The sequence below is a fragment of the Homo sapiens genome, chromosome 4 (genome assembly GCF_000001405.40).
Source record: "Homo sapiens chromosome 4, GRCh38.p14 Primary Assembly".
Lineage (NCBI taxonomy): Eukaryota > Metazoa > Chordata > Mammalia > Primates > Hominidae > Homo > Homo sapiens.
The window spans coordinates 21361994-21383662 of NC_000004.12; the positions used below are offsets into that span (position 1 = coordinate 21361994).

The 21669-nt window shown below is 37.1% G+C and overlaps 1 protein-coding gene across 6 annotated transcripts in view, besides 1 other annotated feature; it reads right to left on the bottom strand.

Moving 5' to 3' along the window:
* The window catches only part of KCNIP4 (potassium voltage-gated channel interacting protein 4), a 1220167-nt gene that overhangs the window by 633388 nt on the left and 565110 nt on the right, over positions 1-21669 (bottom strand). The window lies entirely within an intron of this gene.
* Positions 4222-4762: an enhancer, noted in NCBI's record as "OCT4-NANOG hESC enhancer chr4:21367838-21368378 (GRCh37/hg19 assembly coordinates)". NCBI's record gives its function as "activates a minimal SCP1, AML or CMV promoter by ChIP-STARR-seq in primed H9 embryonic stem cells {active_cell/tissue: H9 hESC(primed)}" and the evidence as "EXISTENCE:reporter gene assay evidence [ECO:0000049][PMID:30033119]".

Below are 21669 nucleotides of genomic sequence, written 5' to 3' on the forward strand. Positions count from 1 at the left end.
AGAAGTGCCTGCCTAACCACTTGCAAATTAGATACCTGCTGGGGTAAGCAAGACAGTACCCATGCAAGAATGAAGAGGAGAGGGGAGAAGGCTGGGATATGCTCTGATAAAATGCACAATTCGAGGAAATAGTCTAACTGCACACTCAGCTCCTGTTGTCTAGGGAAGACAAAGAAATATGTAAAATTCAAGCTGACATACTATGAACAGTTTCATAATGAAGCTATATCACTTATTAGAAAATTATGCAGATGAACCCTGTATTATGGCAGAGGGAGCCGCAGAATAGCCAAGAAGCTGGCTCCACATGGAGACAGACCTCATGGTCACGAAAGCAGTGAACCTTGTCTCCTGACCCAGAACTTGCCATTCTGCCAACTGCTGTTCATAAAATTGAAATAATAAGGAAGAACCACTAAAAATCATTAATTTTGCAAAACTAGTGGTATTAGAAAAGGTATGAGCTTTGGAGTCTAAGACATGTGATTTGAATTATGTTTCTTCCAGTTCTAGCTAGGTAATCTTGGGTAGAATACATTATATCTGAACCTCAGTTATAGCTGGAAAACAAGATTATGAATACCTTCCTCTTGGGGTTGAGATAAAGATTGAATTAAAAAAACTCCCCTTCCCAAAGTAAAACACGTTCAGTCTTTGTCCTCCCCTGCACAAATGAACTCATTGTCTCAGGAGTACAGCCAGGTAGACAGTCACATCCTTCTGTGGAAGTGATACAGACATCCTCACTGCATGTGAAATGGAAGAAATATTCTTGTATATTGTTTAACTGAAGGATGAAATTAAAGTTAGAAATGCAGACTAGGTAGCCCTTATCCCGCCGTTTATATGCATCCTTCCTGTCTACAGAACACAACTCAGGGAGCAAATAGGAGAACTACAATGGAGTGATAAGAAAAAATTGTCATTCTTGCATCTGTTATTTAGCCATATCTCCAGCTCACCCATTTTATTATAGTTAATAACGATGGTAATCATTCACTGAGATAAAGTACTAAGTACTTTATACATGGAATCTCACTGAATTCTCATAGTTGCTTTTGGAGATGAGTTCTTTCTTTATCTCCTTTTTGCAAATGAGAAAACAGAGCCTCAGAGAGGTTTAGAAACTTGTTTAAGATCATACAGTAGCTACTGAAGTTGAAGTCATGATTTGAATGCTTGTCTGATTCTACATTCTCTCTTCTTGTCCTTGTGTTTCCATCCCTCTGGCCTTTGACTGCCACAGCCCTGTGGCTCTCCTTCATTGAACTACCTAGTTAGGTATACCTCTCAAGATCTAGCTGTGATCCCTTCTCTTGGACATCACTTCAGGCTTGTTTCTGGCTCCAAATCTCTATGAATATAGATAAGAGATACACTCAAAACCTTTACCTAGCCTCACAGGGGTTTATCCTTGTAGCATAGACATATCTTCATGACAAAGTGAACCAGGAGTGTTTGAAGGCCTGCTTTGTAACCAACTGCATCAACATTAGGGAAATCACCAGGTGCTTTCATCATTTTCTTCTGTAAAATAAAAATTTATAATGTGCTTACAAACTACATAGCTCTTTGGGAAGTAGGCAAATTGAATTTTTCAAATTCTCAGTGGCAAGCTGGGCAGTAAAACATAATTACTGATTTTTAATATGTACTTTGTGGCCCTTGTAATTCAAAGATGATGATTTTGACTATCATCACTATCAGTGTGAAACAACAGGAGCTCAAAGAGAATCCAAAGCTTGATATCATTCCTGCCCTCATTTTAGTGTTGAAATAAAAGTTCTTAAGGATTTGAAGAACATACTTAGGAGTTCTCTCCATAGCATTTTCATAGCACTCAAGGAAGTATAAGGATTAGCTACAGTGATCCCAAATGCTAATAACATGAATTTTCCAAATCAGAAAGTAAATACTCAGGGCATAGAAAGAGCTCTCGAGTACCACTGTGAGCCCCAAGATATCTGATAAAGCATGAGTGTTTGGGTTTTGGTGGCTGGAAGGATGGAATGGAGCTAAGCTTATAGGTTAAAAGTTACTTATCTTTATTCTAAGAAAATGTGAGCCTCATAAGTTATCTCTGCCTTGATGATCCCTCTTTTACAATTCTCATTGTTAACACTTAATTTCTGTAACATTAGCTTACAAGGATTGTTTCTCAAGTGGAATTTCTGCCTCCAAACATAATAGGCTTACAACAACCATATTATTTTCTTTTTTGAAAATTCCTAAATTCATTTACGCATTTGCTCTTACACCTATCAATGCATCCAAACCATATATTTATTGAGCAGATATTTATTGAAAGCCTGTTCAGTGCTAGGTACAGGGAGTTTAAAACTGAATGGCATGGTTTCTGCCAAGAGGAATATATTAGAAATTTATAGAAGGCAGAATACTATTATATAACATCATCAGAGCTATAACAGTAGTGCAGATAAATTGTTTTGAGAAAACAAATTTGGGCAGAAGAAATTGTTTCCCATGCATAGGAAACAATAAACATGTGTTGGATGAAAAAAAGAACATGTAATCCACCGGTTAAAGATGGAAGGACCTCAGTTAGGATAGTATCTCATGATAATTTTTTTTTCTTTTTACAATATAGCACTTATTTTAATGATACGAATTGATGAATGAATAAATAAATGACAAGTCAATGCACCTATATTATGGAACAGTAGATATCAGAAAAAGCTAAAGGAAATTTCAAGAGCCATATAATCAAATAGATTATAAGGACACACAAACCAAATTAACTGTAGTGAAAGATAACATGAGACAAGAACAATGAGAAATAAATAACAAATATGGGTGATTTCATAGTATGAAGAGTACTATTTGTTAGAGGCAACTATCTTAGAAGAAAAAGTACATGAGTTGGACTTCGATGGTTGGGGTCCTTTGCATAAAGTCAGAAAAGGACATTGCAAGTGAATATAAAGATAGGAAAGCAAGGGAAAGAAGATGAGGAATTATGGTATTCGTTCAATCTTGCAGAAATGCAGGATGGAATGGAAAACTGGAAAAGCCAAGTTTATATCAAAGGAGAAAGGAGTTTTCTCCTAAGGGTTTGAAATCTATGGTGGGTAAAAGGGAGATATTAAAGTATTTGGGGATAAAGACTAACATGATTATCTCTAAAATCCAAATATGCAATTATGTGTTAAATACTAACTTCATTTTCCAGATTATATTGAAATCATCAAAGGCCAGTGCGGTGGTTCATGCCTGTAATCCCAGCACTTTGGGAGGCCGAGGTGGGCGGATCACTTGAGGTCAAGAGTTCAAGACCAGCCTGGTCAATATGATGGAACCCCATCTTTACTAAAAATACAAAGATTAGCTGGGCATGGTGGTGTGCACCTGTAATCCCAGCTACTCTGGAGGCTGAGACATGAGAATCCCTTGAACCTGAAGGGTGCAGTGAGCCAAGATCACACCACTGCACTCCAGCCTGGATAACAGAGTGAGACTGTCTCAAAAAATAAATAAATAAATAAATAAATAAATAAATAAATAAATAAATAAAAAATAAAGAAAGAAAAGAAAAAGAAAAAAAAATACTTCAAATCTTTCCTGTACCTAAAACAGTTGTATTTTTCCATCATATTTACATGTGATTTATTTGAAGCCATCTGCAGTTTGTTTCTTATTCTATTTTGTTTTCTCACCCAATAGCTATTTATTCTGTTCCCGTTGTTGTTATTAACCTTGGCAGCAAAAATTTATCTACAACACCTTCAGAATAGAAAATATACAGATTAGCAATAATTTGAAGCCTGAGATCAGGATGATATGTTTTTGTCCATTAAGGAAATGTTCATATTCCAGTTTTAAGCAGCTCATATCTGTCTACCAAACTCAAGAATACTTACATTCTGAAATATCTGAAATTACAAGTGTTAATTTTTTATGCAGATTGTTCTGCTATTCTGTTTTCTCATGCTTACCACTCAGGCTGAGCTCAAACTATGAATAAGTGATTAACTGGTGTGAACTATGTGGCCATGGTGATGTTCAGAATGGTATGCTTGATGATCCTATCATAGATAGTGTTTTGATATAAGCATTAGATTTAAGGCTTAGGAATTGCACTTTTCACACATATGTTTAAACGTAGTGACAATTTCTCCTAATGTTAAAATGCATTCTCTGATAAATAAGGCTTGAACGCTACCGGTGAATATGTGGAGCTCAGTCAGCTATCTCAGCTGCTGCAAAGATATAGCTATTACATGGTTGGTTTGACAGACAAGGAGCTATCCTCTTTAAAAAAATAAAAAAAACATACTCCAGCCTACAACCCGCAGAGGATGCTGCATGCAACGCAGTGATTATGAATCCTACCAAATTTTCAGCCATGCCAGCAATTGCCTCTTCCTCATATGGAAATCTTTGCAGCCCTGTCTTCAGAAGAAAAACAAAGGCAGAGGAAAAACAAAAAGGAAATTCCTGTGGTAAGAGAGCTCAAGATTCTTGCTCTGGCACTTAAAAGAACAAAGCCAGTAATTGCCAGAGTAGAACAGACAGAGCACTAACGATGGGACTGCAAAAAGTACTTGGGCTAGCTAGCTCAAGAAGGTGAAAGACAGGTTACACATGCTAGCCCTTGAGCTAGGAGAAACAGCTATTATCCTAAAGCTGAGGAGAACCCAATTTAGCTGTAAGACTAGGGATGAGGGAAAAAAACACAACAACAATAAATCCTATCTCTATAGTACCTGGTCTTTACCCAGTTAGAAAGCAGTAGAATGAGGAACAGAGAGAAATAGAGAAACAGAGACAGGGAGAGAGAAACAAAGAGAGAGAGAGGGGAGGGAGGGAGAGAGGTAGTTCCAGTTTATTATGTCAATTATGCACTAAAAATGGGGTTGTCATGGTCTAAATGTATTTCCTAAAACTTATATGTTGAAGTTTAATCACCAATGTGTTAGTATTAAGAGCTGAGGCATTTAGGAGGTGATTAACTCATGAGGACAGAGCCTCATGAGATCAGGGTCTTTAAAAAGGCTTGAGGGAGTGATTGGCTCTCTTCTGCCCTCCTGCCATGTGAGGACACAGCGTTTCCCTTCTGATGCAGCACTCAAGGTGCCATTTTAAAAGTGGAGAGAACAGCCCTTATCAGACACTGAATCTGCTGGCATCTTATTCTTGGACTCCCAGCATCTAGAACTGTGAGAACATAGCTTCCTATTGTTTACAAATTACCCAGTCTCAGGTTTTTTTTGTTGTAGCAGCATGAATAGACTAAGACAAAATCTTACTTTACCTTTTGACCAAATTAACATGCATGGACTGGGAAAGTAGATACATAACCTGTTTTCTTGTATCTGATTTGTCTTACTTCTACCTTTTTGCACCCACTTGATTCTTTTCTATCTTGTTGTATGCTGCTTCCTTTATTTGCCTATCTTAGTGTTATTTTCTTCATTAGGGTCTGAGCCAAGCACTGTCCTGTATGCTGGAGACTCTACCTAACTGGACATACTTATTGCCTTTCAAGAGCTTGAAAGGAAGATCAAAACCAAGGCTGGGTCAGGATATTTATTCTTAGCAAGTCATACATTTTATATTGAGAAGAATTTTATAATTTGAAGTATGTTCATCATTCCAGTGGAATTTTGATAAGAATTTCACCCAACCCATGCAACTGTGTCAAACAGAAAAATCCTGATGGAAAATCATGGCTCCATGGGGGAGTTTGCTCTGGTGGAAATACATCTGTGTAGGAGTTCCTGTTAAAAGAAGACACATCACTACATTTTACCTGTCAGGGATTTTTTTTAAGTCTACATATGCAAAGGCAAAGTTGTCACTAGCGTGTAAACACAGAATCTCTGGGAAGGATTTGCAATATGACATCTTTCCATGTCTGCTGTATTTGATTCGAGATAGCAAAAATGCAAGTGGTTCCCCAGAGACTACCTATACAGGCAGGTTTGGAGCTAGTGTTTGTATCTTGCAGGGATTGTGAAATAAAGCGTACCCATGTTTAACTCTCAACACCTCTTGCCAGGCTGAGACAAAATGGTGAAACAAGGTGGTCAGCCTGGAGTTGTGAAAAGAGGGTGGGATTTGGATTCAGCAAGATGTGAGTTTGAATTCCAGCTCTATCACTTTTAGTTGGGGAGTCTCTACAATACACTTTGATTAGGGTAGTGATACCTACTGAGTTGCAGTGATTAATGGAAACACTGCATAAAATAATCTTATTAGAATGACTAGAATTTAAGAAGCTGTTACACACACACACACACACACAATAAATATGACGTTAGTTTGACAATACTGACTACACTACACATAAAAATAAAGTTCAAATCTGTGGTTTAAGGTTATTCTTATGACATTAAGACCATTTGTGATTTAGAAAATCGTATCTAATACACGTGCTTATGTAAGGGAGACATACACTCCCCCCAAAATAGCTAAAATGTATGGAACACATAATATGTGCCAGGTCCTGTTCAAAAAAATTTACATGCATGATTCTCAACCATTTATACTAAATCCAATTATTAGTCCAATATTATCTTCACTCTGCAGCTTTGGTAACTAAGGCCCAGTAAGGTTGGGTAATTTGCCCAAGGTTACACAAATACTAAGTGATGTAGCCAAATAGATGTAGGCAGTCTGGTTCTAGAGCCTGTGAAGTTACTTATCGTACCATACTACCTAGATTTTCCCTAAAAAGTCAACAATTATTCTTAGAGCAGAGGGGAGCCTCATATAGTATCAATTTAATTAAGAAATATCACCCTTTCCTTGAGGAGTTTTAAGTTGAATAAAAAATAATGGATATAATTCTAGTTACTGTGTGGTTAATTGCTAACACATTGCAGCACAACCTATGTATGTTCTGGATTATACAGGTGAAAGAATAACAGGGCAAAATTTGGAATGGCCAAGAACAGTCTTCATTCATCTGTCCTTCTATCCATCCATAAATCCATTCATCCACTAATCCATCCATCCATTCATTTGTCAATCCATCCATCCATCCATCTACCTATCCTTTCTGATTGCAGTAAAGGGATGCAGAGCAAAATCTTACAGTTAGGTAGACCTAAATTCTAGCTCCTGTTTTATCACTTACTAGCTGAATGGTCTTGAGAAATTAAGGTAACCTGATTGAGTCTCCTAAAATGGAAAAATAATTAAAATATACTTAATGGTAGTGTTATGAGAATTACGTTTATAGACTTCTAGGCACAGTATCTGGTACAAAATTAACACTAAATAAATGATGGTTATCAATATTAACATTAAAGCTTTTATGTCAGGTACCAAATTACAGTTATGTTCTGAAGATATAAAGATTAATAAGATATATTTCTTGCCCTCTAAAAGATTCCAGAAGTTTAGTAGGGACTTTACACAAGTGTGATAAATGTGGAATGGTTAGTTCTACCATCGTTTAGGGATAAGGGAATCAAGAATACTAATAGTAGTTGGCTGGGCATGGTGGCTCACTCCTGTAATCCCAGCATTCTGGGGGGCCAAAGTGGGAGGGTCTCAGGAACCCAGGAGGTTGAGACTGCAGTGAGCCATGATTGTACCTTTACACTCCAGCCTGGGTGCCAGAGTGAGACCCTGTCTCTAAAAATTTTTTTAAAAGAAGAATGTAATTTGTTGAGATTTTCTGATGTTCAGATGCTGAGCTAAGTAGTTGTAGCACTTACTTACTATCTCATTTAATTCCAATGAGAACTATTATTACCTCTATTTTACAAAAGAGGAAAGTGAGGCTTAAAGAAATGCAGTTTGTTGTTTGGAGTCATGCATTTAAGAAAGGGAAGGGCCGAGACCTTAACCCAAATAATTTTTTTTTTTTTTTTTTTTTTAGACGGAGTCTTGCTCAGTCACCCAGGCTGGAGTTCAGTGGCACCATCTCTGCTCACTGCAAGCTCTGTCTCTGCCTCCCGGGTTCACACCATTCTCCTGCCTCAGCCTCCCGAGTAGCTGGGACTACAGGCACCTGCCACCATGCCTGGCTAATTTTTTGTATTTTTATTAGAGACGGGGTTTCACCGTGTTAGCCAGGATGGTCTCGACCTCCTGACCTCGTGATCCTCCCACCTCGGCCTCCCGAAGTGCTGGGATTACAGGCTTGAGCCACTGCACCCGGCCAACCCAAGTTATTCTTAATGTGGAAAAACTAAGAAGACTGCCTCTAAGCTACATTTTAAAAGATTACCACCCATTTTTAAGTAGATAGATATTGAGGTGTATTAAAGACACAGGAAGCAGTAAGGAAAGTGACAAAAATAAATCAAACTATGTGGCCCAGTTAGAAAATATGAGGTGATTCAGTGTTCATTCAAAAATTGTTTATTGAGGGTCCATTACATGTCAGGGATCTTTCCTAGGTACTGAAGGTGCATGGCTGTAAAACATAGACTAAAATTCCTGCCAACGTGGACCTTATTATCCATTCTCTGGGAGGGAGACACCCAAAGTAAAATTAAAAACACATGATTAAGAAGTTCATTATAAAGTAATATATACAACATATAATAAAGTATAAAAACCTATGTTCTAAGTGCTATTGAGAAAAAAAAAGAAGCAGAGAAGACATCAAAGTAGGTTGAAAGTAGGGAGATTTTCTGGTTTTAAATGGATAGTCAGGGAAGGCTTAGCCAAGAAGATGATATGCGGACATATAAGCTCTGAAGCGCTGAGAGTGAGCCATTTGGGATATCTAGCAGAAAAGCTTGCCAGGTACAGGAGGTAGCATTTGCAAAGACCCAGGAAGGAAAAATGACTGGCATGTTGGAGGAACAGACAGGAGGTCATGGATTGAAATATATATATATATATATATATATATATATATATATATATATATATATATACACACACACACACACACACACACACACACACGTGTGTGTGTGTGTGTGTGTATTAGCAGAACATAGAAAAAGAAACTAGCAATGCAAGAGAGGAAAAGGAGAATTCTAGAGCCAAATCTTTGAGCAGTGGAAGGGGTAGGGATCTAGCTCACAAATATGGTTGATGTATGAAACTTGTGCATGTCTGGTGGGGGTAGGGGTGAAGGTGGGAGTGTTTGAGGTCAAATAGGGCAATTCAGCCAGAGATTAAATTAGAGGTGTATAGGAACCAAATCTTGAAGGCTCTTCCATTACAGGCATAGATGTTTGGACTTTGTGCTAGTAAAAATGAGGATCTTTAAGGGTTTTAGGTACAGGAATGAAATATTCCAATAAGTTTCACCAGGAAAGTGAAACTTCTGCTGAGCTTTGAGGCATTTATGGGATTTGAATACATGAGAGGTAAAAGAAAGAACAATGTAGGCAAGAAGGTCAACAGTAATAATGACCCAGAATTGGAATAGTTTTGGCAGATGGGGAACCAGTTGAAGATGTGTGCTGGCAGACACCTCTGGGGGAAAGAAAGGAAAATATGAGTTATATCTAAAAGGCTCTGGAATCAATCTGCTTACCAGGTGCACACTCTATCACATACTATCTCTGTGAGCTTGAGCATGATCCCTAATTTCTTGCTATCTAATCACTTGATATAATAAAGATAATAATAGTAATTTCCTCATAAAGAAAATGAAATTAAATCATATGGATAAAATATTACCTGTATGCCTGACACACATTGTTCTCACTAAATGTTAGTTGTTATTCTATATAGCATCTTGGGAACCTGGAGAGGATGTAAGAGATTGGTTCCAGATGTATGGAATGTACTAGAAAGAAACATGATTGAAAGCACTATGATTTCAGGAGGCTGATTATATTATGTAAATCTAAATATTGATCTCTAATATTCAAATTCATCATTTTAAAGGTCAAGGCTTATAACAGAATTCATCTAGACTAACCCTGGAGATAATATAAGAATCAAAATAGCTCTTAAAGTTCAACAGTTAAGCAGTTGAGCTGTGGAAATAGGATATTTATGAGTAGCTTACACACACACACACACAAACACATATATATTGTAAATAAACACAATGGGGATCTCCATACTGCTACCAAATTTTCATATTTTATAAGCCACAATGTGCTAGAAACAAAATTTGGTGCTTCAGAAGAATGTTTGATTAATGATCATTTCTTTGTAATTAGTTATTTGAATGGACAGCAACATCAACATATGGAAGAATTCAGAAAAAAAGAACACAGCATCGTACTTCAGGAGTCTTTACATTTTCTAGAAGGCCAAATTATAAATAGAGTCTTATCTCACCTATCATGAGAGCAGATTGCTACTTATGTATCCATTTATAATTTATCTGAAAATTCCATTTTTTAAAGTTTCTGTATATTCAATGTATCAAACTGGATAGAGAGTTCTTTTTTCAAGTTTTCCAGTTTGGTGAATAGATAGATAGATAGATAGATAGATAGATAGATAGATAGTTAGATAGACAGACAGACAGATACAGATATAGATATAGATGTGTATATATATGTGTGTATGTGTGTGTATACAACATATTGCTTTTCCTTGTTAAATAGCTTGTTAAATTCAGTTCTGTTTCATGCGTTAAAGATTACAGCAGGTAGGTTTCTAAAAAGTCATCATAGATTCTACACTGTTTGGGAATACATAGCTAATATCTGCAACTAAGGTGAACGTGAGAAAAATCACTTATTTGGTTTTGCAACTACAGATCTAACTCTCAAGCATTAAGATATTTCGTCAAATTGATGTTGAAAGGTATCTAGCAAATTCATGAAATCTCATCCTTTAATCCAAAATTACTACAAGGAATATGAACTAAAAAAGCCAAAAGAGGCTATCACATAATAATTAGATACTAGATCAGGCAGTTTTTGTGTTCAGTTCTCAAAATACTGAATATCTCAAAATAGTGAGGAGTGAATACAAGAGTGTTAATCAAGTTCACAAGTAAAATTTTATTCCCAATTTGACAGGTAGGTGGGTAAATATGAAACTTAGCTGTGCCTCATATGGTTGTGTTGATAGGATTTAATTTAAGTGACTGGATGCCTACTAGATTATTGGGCAGAAAATATAATTTAAACATAATTTGGCCATTAATTAGTCTTAATGGATTGGATAAAATGGCTCAGTGAACAGATTAAAAAAAATTTTCTAATGGTAAATAATCCTGTAAGAATATCTTTAGCCTGAGCAACACAGCAAGACCTTGTCTCTACAAAAAATGTAAAAAATTATCTGGCTGTGGTGGTGTGCACTTGTAGTCCTAGCTACTTGGGAGGCTGAGGCAGGAGAATCACTTGAGCCTGGGAGTTGAGGGTTGCAGTGAGTTATCATCATGCCACTTCATGCCAGCCTGGGTAATACATAATCTGTCTCAACAAAAGAATATCCTTAAAATACAAAGATAAAATATAAAAAAAATTTTAGTGAGATTTTAGAAAGTAGAGAGATAGAGTAGACAATTTAATACAACTTTCAACTAAAAAGGTCTGAGAGACTTACAGAAGTTTGTGTTGTAGAAATCTAGTGTTTGGTTTTCTCAGCAGATATTTTCTTTTCTTTTGGTAATAGCAGTTGGGGTTTCCTTTGGGAACCGATTCCATTTCATATTGTCATGTTATTTGATATCAATAAGAAGAGCCAAAAAATTTAAGGCCAAACTACAAAGGTTCATGGCCAGGTTCTGGCCCAGTGTAATGATCAACAAGTCATATAATCTTCATAAAGGTTGGGTTTCTCATTTTCATTTTATCTTGTTTATTTATTTATTTATTTATTTTGTGATGGAGTTTCACTCTTGTTGCTCATGCTGGAGTGCAATGGCATGATTTCTGTTCACTGCAACCTCTGCCTCCCAGGTTCAAGCAATTCTCATGCCTCAGCCTCCCGAGTAACTGGGATTACAGGTGCTCCTCCATACCCAGCAAATTTTTTGTATTTTTAGTAGAGATGGGGTTTCACCATATTGGCCAGGCTGGTCTCAAACTCCTGGCCTCAAGTGATTCACCCACCTCGGCCTCCCAAGGTATTGGGATTACAGGTGTGAGCCACCACACCCAGCCTAGGGTTTCTCATTTTTAGAATAGAAGCAACATTAGCACTATGTTAGTAAAATGCCACCACAAATACTTTGCAGAATTACTGTAACAATTGCAATAGAGAAAGGATTGCTACATCGATATTAAGAACACCTAGGGGGTGCTTGCTAGTGTAAACCAACATGACTAACCACAATAGGTGAGTGTATTAGTTCATTTTCACCCTGCTGATAAAGACATACCCAAGACTGGCTAATTTACAAGGAAAAAGAGGTGTAAAGGACTCACAGTTCCATGTGGCTGGGGAGGCCTCACAAACATGGCGGAAGGTGAAAGGCAAAAGGCACAACTTACATGGCAGCAGGCAAGAGAGAGAATGAGAGCCAAGAAAAAGGGGTTTCCCCTTATAAAACCATCAGATCTAGTGAGACATATTCACTACCATGAGAACAGTATGCGGGAAACCATACCCATGATTCAGTTATCTTCCACCAGGTCCCTCCCACAATACATGGGAATTATGGGAGCTACAATTCAAGAGATTTGGGTGGGGACATAGCTAAATCATATCAGTGAGCTTCATTACAAGTTTTAAAAAATGAAGGCAACAACAGGTGAACTGTATGGTATGGGCATGATAACTTAATAGAGTGTTTTAAAATATGATGGCAGTTTATTTTCATCAATGGTTGGTCTTTTCATTATCAACATGAGAATAACAAATGTATCTTATATAAAATGAAGGATCAGGTTGATGTCTACTTGACATTCCCCATGAACTACACTGGTATTAGGGAGACATTAGATACTCCCAGATATACTGGCTTTGGCTTCCTGGGAATGGAGTGTAGCTTGGTGACAGCTGGGCAGAGAGCCTCAGGCATGCTCCCCATTCCTGTGCAGAGGGCACAGCCATGGAAAGCATTTCTTGGACTTATTTATACCATCAGTACCCTAATGACAGAAGAAATACAGCTTATTTCATATTCATTTTTAAAAGTAACCTTAAACATCAGGAACACAAAAGAAGTGGTAGAGAATTCGGAGGTAATAGGGGAACAAAAAGCATTTAGTGTGATAATTTAGAGGGTGTGTGCAAACTTCATGCAGATTTAAATTTCCCAACAGCTTGCAAATAGGTTACTCAAGTATTCAAAAGCAGAAATTTCTAGAGGTGCATTAGTCGTAAAGGCCATGGAATGTAGCCTTTTATGTTTATTGTTTTCATTTACATTCTGTCCAACCCTGAGTCTTGTAGTCTAAAAGGGTGTGACATGTGTGTTCAATTGCATCCAAGAATGTCTTCTGAAACTGAGTCCCTCCACTGTAGAATAAAAACAGCCTGGGTTCAAATAGCAGACTCACTTCCCAGTAAAGCTGGCCCATTGACTTGGGCCATTTACTTGTATTTTCTGAGCCTCAGTTTCTTCATCTGTAAACTGAGGGGCTAATAATGTACTTACACTATAGTGGTAAAGATAACATGGGAAAATATATGTCAAATGCATAGGTCCAGGGGTATAGTGCATTTGATTAAGAGCACAACAAATAATTACAATTATCATTGTTACCCTTTTTGTGAATTTTTTTCTTTTTTTTTTTTTGAGACAGAGTCTCGCTCTGTCACCCAGGCTGGAGTGCAGTGGTGCGATCTCTGCTCACTGCAAGCTCCGCCTCCCAGGTTCACCCTGTTGTCTTGCCTCAGCCTCCCGAGTAGCTGGGACTACAGGCGCCTGCCACCACGCCCAGCTAATTTTTTTTGTATTTTTAGTAGAGGCGGGGTTTCACCGTGTTACCAGGATGGTCTTGATCTCCTGACCTCGTGATTGGCCCGCCTCAGCCTCCCAAAGTGCTGGGATTACAGGCGTGAGCCACCGTGCCTGGCCTGGCCATTGTTACCCTTTTTGATACAGTTGTGAGGAGTGAAAAATACTCACGTTCAAAAAGGTACCTTTCAAGGCAGAGTCTCCCTCCTAAGAGATAAGGAATTTCAGAAACACACCAGGAATCAAGGTGGATAGAGAGTTTCTCACCTCCTGAAAATTACAGTCTAAACTTTTGACTTCTTTTACCCCAGAGTATCTTAAGTTTGGGAGGAAATGTTTGTGTTTTCTCTAAAAGAAAAGCACAGAAATATCTTCTGCCTAAATTATTATTATACAACTTGTTTTTTCTTCTTTTGAAACCTCTGTGGCAGATAAAACTTGTATGTTAAAAAGGAATTTAAAAAGATAACACTTGCAAAATTTTGTGAAACCTAATATAATCTTCTCCAAAGTGTAACGCATTAGTTTTCCTTAAAGTAGAAATGGTTTCCATTTACTCCCTTCAAGATAAAACTAAGAATCTTAGGATGGTATGCAAGTTCTTCCATGATCTGGATCCGAGATTTGGATGCTAGCATGATGCCATAAAGCATTGCCAGCCCCGTAAGCCTATTTGTAGTTTCTTAAACATAGCCAGATCTTTCAGTAATCCATGTTTTTTCATTTACAGTATTCTTCCTTCTGAACATTCATTCTTCCCCAGTCATTCAAGTTAGCTAGTTACTGCCTATCCTTCAAAATTCATCACAAGTATATGCTTTTTAAGGAGGTGTGTTCTAAATGTCTCCATCTCCCACATCTGTTAAATTACTGGCTCTTAATCTGTTTAAAGCATCCCTTCAGACCTGTATCATGAAGTTTATTATCAGTGTTACGTTTGCCTTTTTGCTGGTCTCCACAACTCATTTGTTCATGACTTGAGAATAACGGGTCTTCATATCCCAAGACCAGGCACACAGGGGACTCAGTAATTGGTCCTGTTTAGACTTGCGGATTGCACCCAATACAAAACCATGATAAGCAATGTTAAATGCCACAGCAGTGCCAGAGAATCAGTTAATAAATGCATATGACAGATTATTATATCCATAGCAGAAGAGGTTATTTTAAGAACTACTGCTTGTTTTGTGTCTGAGTAAAGATGGAATATCAAACATAATTTCTTTACGATCAAACGAAGCTTATTTCCAGATAGGAAGGCATTTTTTTTCCTTTTTTCTTTATTTTCAGTAAGGAATTAAATTAGAAAAATCATTTGCATTTTTACATTTGTCTTCTCTGAATATGCAGGGCTGGTTGAATTCTGTCTGACACCTTCACAGAACTCGCTTAAGTAAGCTTTCCATTACTAAATAAATTGCATCCATTCTAATTAAAGATATGTAGAGCATACTACTCGGACAGGAGAAGCAAAGTGCTATGAAGAGCTAGAGCTTCCATGGTAACCCTGCTAGGGATAATATAATTGATTCAAATGGTCTCTCCTGCCACATACTGATTCCATGCCAACAAGCCTTGAAAACTGTCCATCATTTCACAGAGCTAGTTATAGACCAAGTCCAGCTAAGACAAATAAATGGTGATAGAACTTCCAGAGACAATTACTACAATGAATCATGAAAGACACTCCTTGCTTTCTAGCTCATTTAGTGATTGATTACCATCAACAAGGTTTAAATAATTATGTAGTGAATATATGAGTAATTTACAGAAAGAAAGGGAAATACGTGTATCAATTCTTTTTGTATAGGGGATCTGCTGTGGGAGAAATAACTCAAAACTCAAATGGTATAGGCACCACATTAGGCTTAATATTGGTACATCATTCTGCCTCATTGCTGGTTGTTTGCGTCCAAGCTTGTCAGGCAATGTGTGAGAATATTATGCACACATAATAGGAAGTGATAAAGCCCCATGAAAATGAAGATTCAGAAAGTGAGAAAAGCACAGTACTTTTTCATTCCCCTTACAACATATTATAGTTCCTCTGGTCCTAACCAGAGTGAGATAGAGAAATGAGTTGATTTCTGTAAACCAAACTTCTCAACTCTAGTAGCTCATATTCCTGACATTCGCTTTGGTTGCTGAATTTGTCAGCAGCACTCGAGGTTGATCAGGTGGTGTTTCACTGGAAGATTGGTATTTGTGCGTAGTGGTGGTGGTGGCGGGTACTTGCTATTTAGGATGCCATTTGCACTAAACCAATTTCATCAATATCCTGGTTAGACTAACTTGTTCATTCACTTCACTCCAGGTATTTCCCACACTTTAAATTTGCTCCCGCATTGCTATCTAGGTTACACTTAATAGCCTGCTGATTTAGAAGCCAGTCTCTCAGTCAATCATCAAGTTATCAGGCAATTCGTTTAGATTAAACCTAGTGGAATACTCACATTGAGCTCTTTCAGCTTATATTTGCTTTTGAAAATCTTGAGATTTCAAGCTTTCATATATTTCACTGCCTCTTTAACAAAATGTTAGCACTATCTTTTAATATACTTTTTTCAATATGTATTGGTACCTAAAGCCATAATAAATTCCTTTAATAAAAATGCGCCAATAGATTCATTTTCTTCTTTTTTGCTGCACAATATTATCTCATAGTGTCAGTGATGGAAATCTGCTCTCTATTTTTAGAGGGTGGGATGAAGTAAAGAAGGCTTATAAGTTGGCTCTAAATTCTAGAAGCTGAAATCCAAGGATCATTCCAAAAGTCGGCAGGTGATTTCCTATCTTTGTTCTTGTTTTGCTCTGAAAGAATTCCTCTCTTAAATACTAACCTGTTGAACTACTACCATACATTTAAATACTACCTAAAACTTTCTACCTTTTCCCTTCCAATTGCATTTGATCATGCCATGTTCTCAACCTTCACAGAATTTTAAAACAGTTTCCAGCTATCCCTTAACACAAGGGATATTTATGTGTGCATTTATATATTCAAGTGATCATAGAAATTTAGTCTTTTATAAATCTCTATATACTTTTCTATTTTTGTTTAAATTAAAATATAGAAAGGAAATAGAGCAAGACACCTTTATACATACTACGTAGCTATCTACATATTTATTAACAATCTTTCAAATTAAAAAAACACAGGGTTGAAATCATATATTCTTTTCTTCTTCAGACCAAGTCCCTCCTTCTTCCTATTCTGTCCAACAGGTTAAAAACAATCGTTAATTCATTATGCATTATCCTTACAATCCATTTTTGAAATAGACACATATTATCTATGCATGAGCAATATATCATACTGTGAGATTTTTTTCTTAATTTACATAAATTCTACTCTAGTGTATTATTATGTTACATCTTATTTTTGGTGTTCTACATTAATTTTGAGATTTCTGTTATTTCATATTAACCTAGTTAATTGCTTTAACCTGCTGAATAGTATCTCCTTGTATGAATCTTTCACTATTTTGAATACTGTTAGCTCTACCTTCAAAATATATTCAAAATCCAACTACTTCTCACCACTTCCAGGCTACCACTCTGAATTATCCTGTCTTGTTTGGATTATTGAACAGTCTTCTACCGTTCTGCATGCTTCCTCTTCAGAGACCTTAAATCTATTCTCAAAACAGTCAGAGTGACTCTTTTAAAAGGTATGTCATATTATGCCACTAACCTATTTGAAATCCTCACGTGGCTTTGCCTCTCTTTCACTCAACACTTCCAACAATGCTGCATTTAAGTTTTACTACTAGGTGGGAGAGTTTCTCTAAGATGAATGCCTGTAAATGAAATTCTCTCTCTTTCATATTATTTTCCCAAGTGATTATAGAAAGATTTATAGTCACAGCAGTGACATATAAACTGTTCTTTTAAAGCCTTCATAGAACCCTAGCACATAGCTTTGTAGACAATAGATGGCAAATAATTATTTAAATCCTTCATCCTTCAAGAAACAGTTCCTGTATTAGCCACCCGCCATAACTGTTTTTCTATATCTCTTTCAGAAAGATTCATGCTTGGCCTTCCTGTATAGAAATTTTGTAAGTGCTTTCATTTTTGCATCTTCATGCTTCTTATTGTAATTATGTATGTCTGCTCCCCACCTGCCCACCCCCATCACCCACTTCCCCACCATATTAGTGCTCGTTCTCTGGAACTGGGTCTTCATTGCACCCTAGTATCTAAGAAGAAAATGAGTATATTCAAATTGGAGATGATCTACTACCAAGAACAGAGGAATTTTCTTACATATGTAATCCCCTTTTCATATCACCATAGTTGCTATTGGTGATTGACAGATATTGCTATTTTTTTCCATTTTATAGATGACAAAATTGAGGGCTATTATTTTCCCATTGATAAAGAAGTAGGAAAAGGCAGAATGTACATTGTAAAAACGCTACACTAAAACCTAAGCATATTTTACTCTTGTCTGGGACATAGAAAGTGCTTTGTATACCCTTTTACTAAAAAACTTCCTAAGATAATACTATGTAAATATTGCCATATTTGATTAGCCAATGTAAGATTTTATTTACTTTGATCATATTCTTAAGTAAAAACAGCCTCAACAACTGGAAAAAAATACAATTTTCCTGTCTTTTACCCATAGGTTGTGAGTGTGTCTCTCTGTGTGTGGCAGGGTGGGGGTCTGGGGGATGATGAGGGAGAGGGAGGGAGAGGGAGAGGGGGAGAGAGAGAGAGAGAGGGAGAGAGAGAGGGAGAGAGAGAGATCCTATATTGTGCTTCTAGTTTTAAGGTCAAGTATAGATCACTCTTAATTTGAGGGATTTTTGACAGTTATTGATGGTTTGACTTTCAAGAATAAATCAATGAAATGCTGAGAAACAAAAAGCACCTTAAAGCTTACTTCGACAAAGTGGCCATGAATGAAGAAAATGAGACATTGTTAATCTGAAGCCATAATCATATTTTTGGCTATAGATTAACTACTTACTACTCACCATATTGGACAGACCTACTTTGTTCCTATACAACCCTCAAAACTGATTTTCCTCCATGTTCCAATACCTTTCCCCACTACTCACAGATACACTATATTTCCATTGGTGACACACACACACACACACACGAATTGGCTTGAAAAATAGCCCATTTGTTTTCACAACAAAGGGAGAGGCACCTGATAAGATTGTTGCAAGGTATATGTTCTCAGCACAGCACCATTAGCTCTAGGATGCAAGCCCCAGTGTGCTTGCCTCTTTGCTTTTTTCATCTGAAGAGTCAAAGCTCTTGTTTATTGCTACTGAAAGGCAGCTGTGGGTGAAATCAGCAGTGTCATTGTCCAAAGATTCTGGCAATGGGTTTAAGTAAACAACTAAGGGATGTTCTGTGCCTTCGTTAATAACTAAATGTCGGTGTGAGAGAAGGGACGAGATGTCATTTCTTCCAGTTACCCCACTGGCTTTATTGAAAACTCAGTTTTGAACAATGATTCTCTGCCTTTTCACTGTCACCCAATTAAGCTTGAAGCTTTTATTTTACCTTTTCAAGATCTCTATACCTCTCCAGGAGGAACAGGACACAATAGAGGGTTTTCACAGCATTGCAGGCAGATAGTAGATTTGTAATGATTAGCAATGACACATTCTATTTTGGGACTAGATTTATCATTCATATGCTTTCATTCTCCAGGTAGTATTTTTACTCAACTTTTAAAAATACTTGGCATTCTTGGCTCATTCATGTACATAGAAAAGATATGTAGCATTACTCCCACCCAAATCCTTTCAAGTTATGTTGAATGTTGTCACTGAAATCATGTGTCATGTGTAACAGAGCTCAACCACTGAGCTGACAATTCCTGCAGATGAGTTAAAGTTTGAATTCACTATATTGATTTATTCTTAGTTTTAAAAGCCAACTTGGGCTTCATATCTTGCCAAAGATTACCTATTTATAATCATTATAACCATGTCAGTGGGTGCAATGGAATTGGGTCTTCTCAGCCATTTTGGAATTACCAAGGAATAAATTAATGTTTCTACGACTCCCAGCTTTATTTTCTGTCAACAGCTATTCATTGAGGAGGAGTAAGTATTAAATTGTGAGACGCCCTGGAGATACAGCAGTGAGCGCAAAGAGACCCAGTAACTCCCACATATCACCAATGGTCTAGCATGGAGTCATATATTAGTCAAACACATGCATATTTAAGTAAATCATTGAAAGTATCAACAGGCTGCAAAAGAGACAGGAGCTACAGGAGCCTAAGAAAATGGAACAGCAAATGTTGAGGAAAGGGGAAACATTTCAAAAAGTTATCCTAAGTAAATGTTGTATGACCTTGGGATGTATGCAGGATGTGGGAATGGATGGACGAACAGATTTTCCAACAGAGATAACAGCACATGCTGAAATATGTAGTACTTGGAATAAGAACAGGACAGAGAAAACTCTGCCATGGACAGAGGTCATTGAAAGAGACAGTATGGCAGGCCATGAGCCCAGTGAGGTAAACAGGAACATTCAGGACATCACAGGCCATGTTAAAGACTATGGCTTTTATTCTAAGGGCAATGGAAGATATAGATGGGCTTTAAGCAGGACAGTGATCTGACCAGGTTTATGTTAAAAGAAGAATCACTCATATTAAAATTGAGGATAGTCATATCTTGCATTGACAATATCAAAGGAGCAGTATAATGATCCAAGAGGACCAATAAGTTCAAAGTAAAAAGATAAATTCCAAGCATCCAGTAGAGTTAATAGGTGCACTCTCAGGGTATAATTGTAGCTATAAGAGTATCTGCTTCAATCTATTATTCAAAAACATACATCAATGCTCAAATTTTACAATTCTTCACTTAAAATGGAGCACCAATAGATGATCCCAAGATTTAGTAACATCTACACCTGCAGTAGCCTTTAAATCTGGTTAATAAAGATGCCTATTGCCACTTAATTGTTTTATCTACTGCACAGCAAGCTGAACCCATGGCTCAAATCTGAATTATCCATGAAACAAAATACCAGAAACTATAAATGAAGTATTACCACACATCCTTTGATATAACCATTATTAAAACCTTAAAGATAAAATTTATTAGCACATATTTATTGAGTGCCCACAATGTTCCAGATACTGTGTATACAACAGTGATTACCACCATTTGAATTGTGTCTCCCAAAATTCATATGTTGAAGTCCTAACTGCCAGTACCTCAGAATATGACTGCATTTGGAGACAGAGCATTTAAAGAGGTAGTTAAGTTAAAATGATGCCATTAGGGTGGGCTCTAATCCAATGTGACTTGTGCCTATTGTCAGAAGAAGAAATCTGGACACATAAAGAAACACCTGGGATGTACACACACAGAGAAAAGATCAAGACTCAGCAAGAAGTCGGCCATCTGCAAGCCAAGGAGTGAGGTACCCAAAGAAACCAACCCTGCTGACACCTTGATCTTGGACATGCAGCCTCCAGAACTGTGATCAATAAATTTCTGGTGTTTATGCCACACAGTCTGTGATAGTTTGTTATGGCAGCCCTAGAAAGGAATACATTTAGCAAGTTATAAATCTTTTTTTTTTTCTAACAGTTTACGATCTGGTGGGGAACAGAGATAAAGGTGCAAAAAGAGAGAGAATAGCTTCTTTGATAAGGGGAATATAAGGTGCTATGGGACACCTACCCTTAATTTCGGGGTCAGAAAATGATCACTGGAGAAATGTATCTCTATGTTGAAGTCTATGTAGGAGTAGCAAGACAAAAAAAAAAAAAAAAAAGAGGGTGGAAGAGTTTTAGAAAAAGAATGCATGCAATTACTCATGCAAAAACCCATAAGACAGGATGACAGTGTGAGGATCTGGATACTTTGCATGGAGGGGATCACTAAGTGAGTATTTGCTGATTTTTTAAATAGATTTATCTA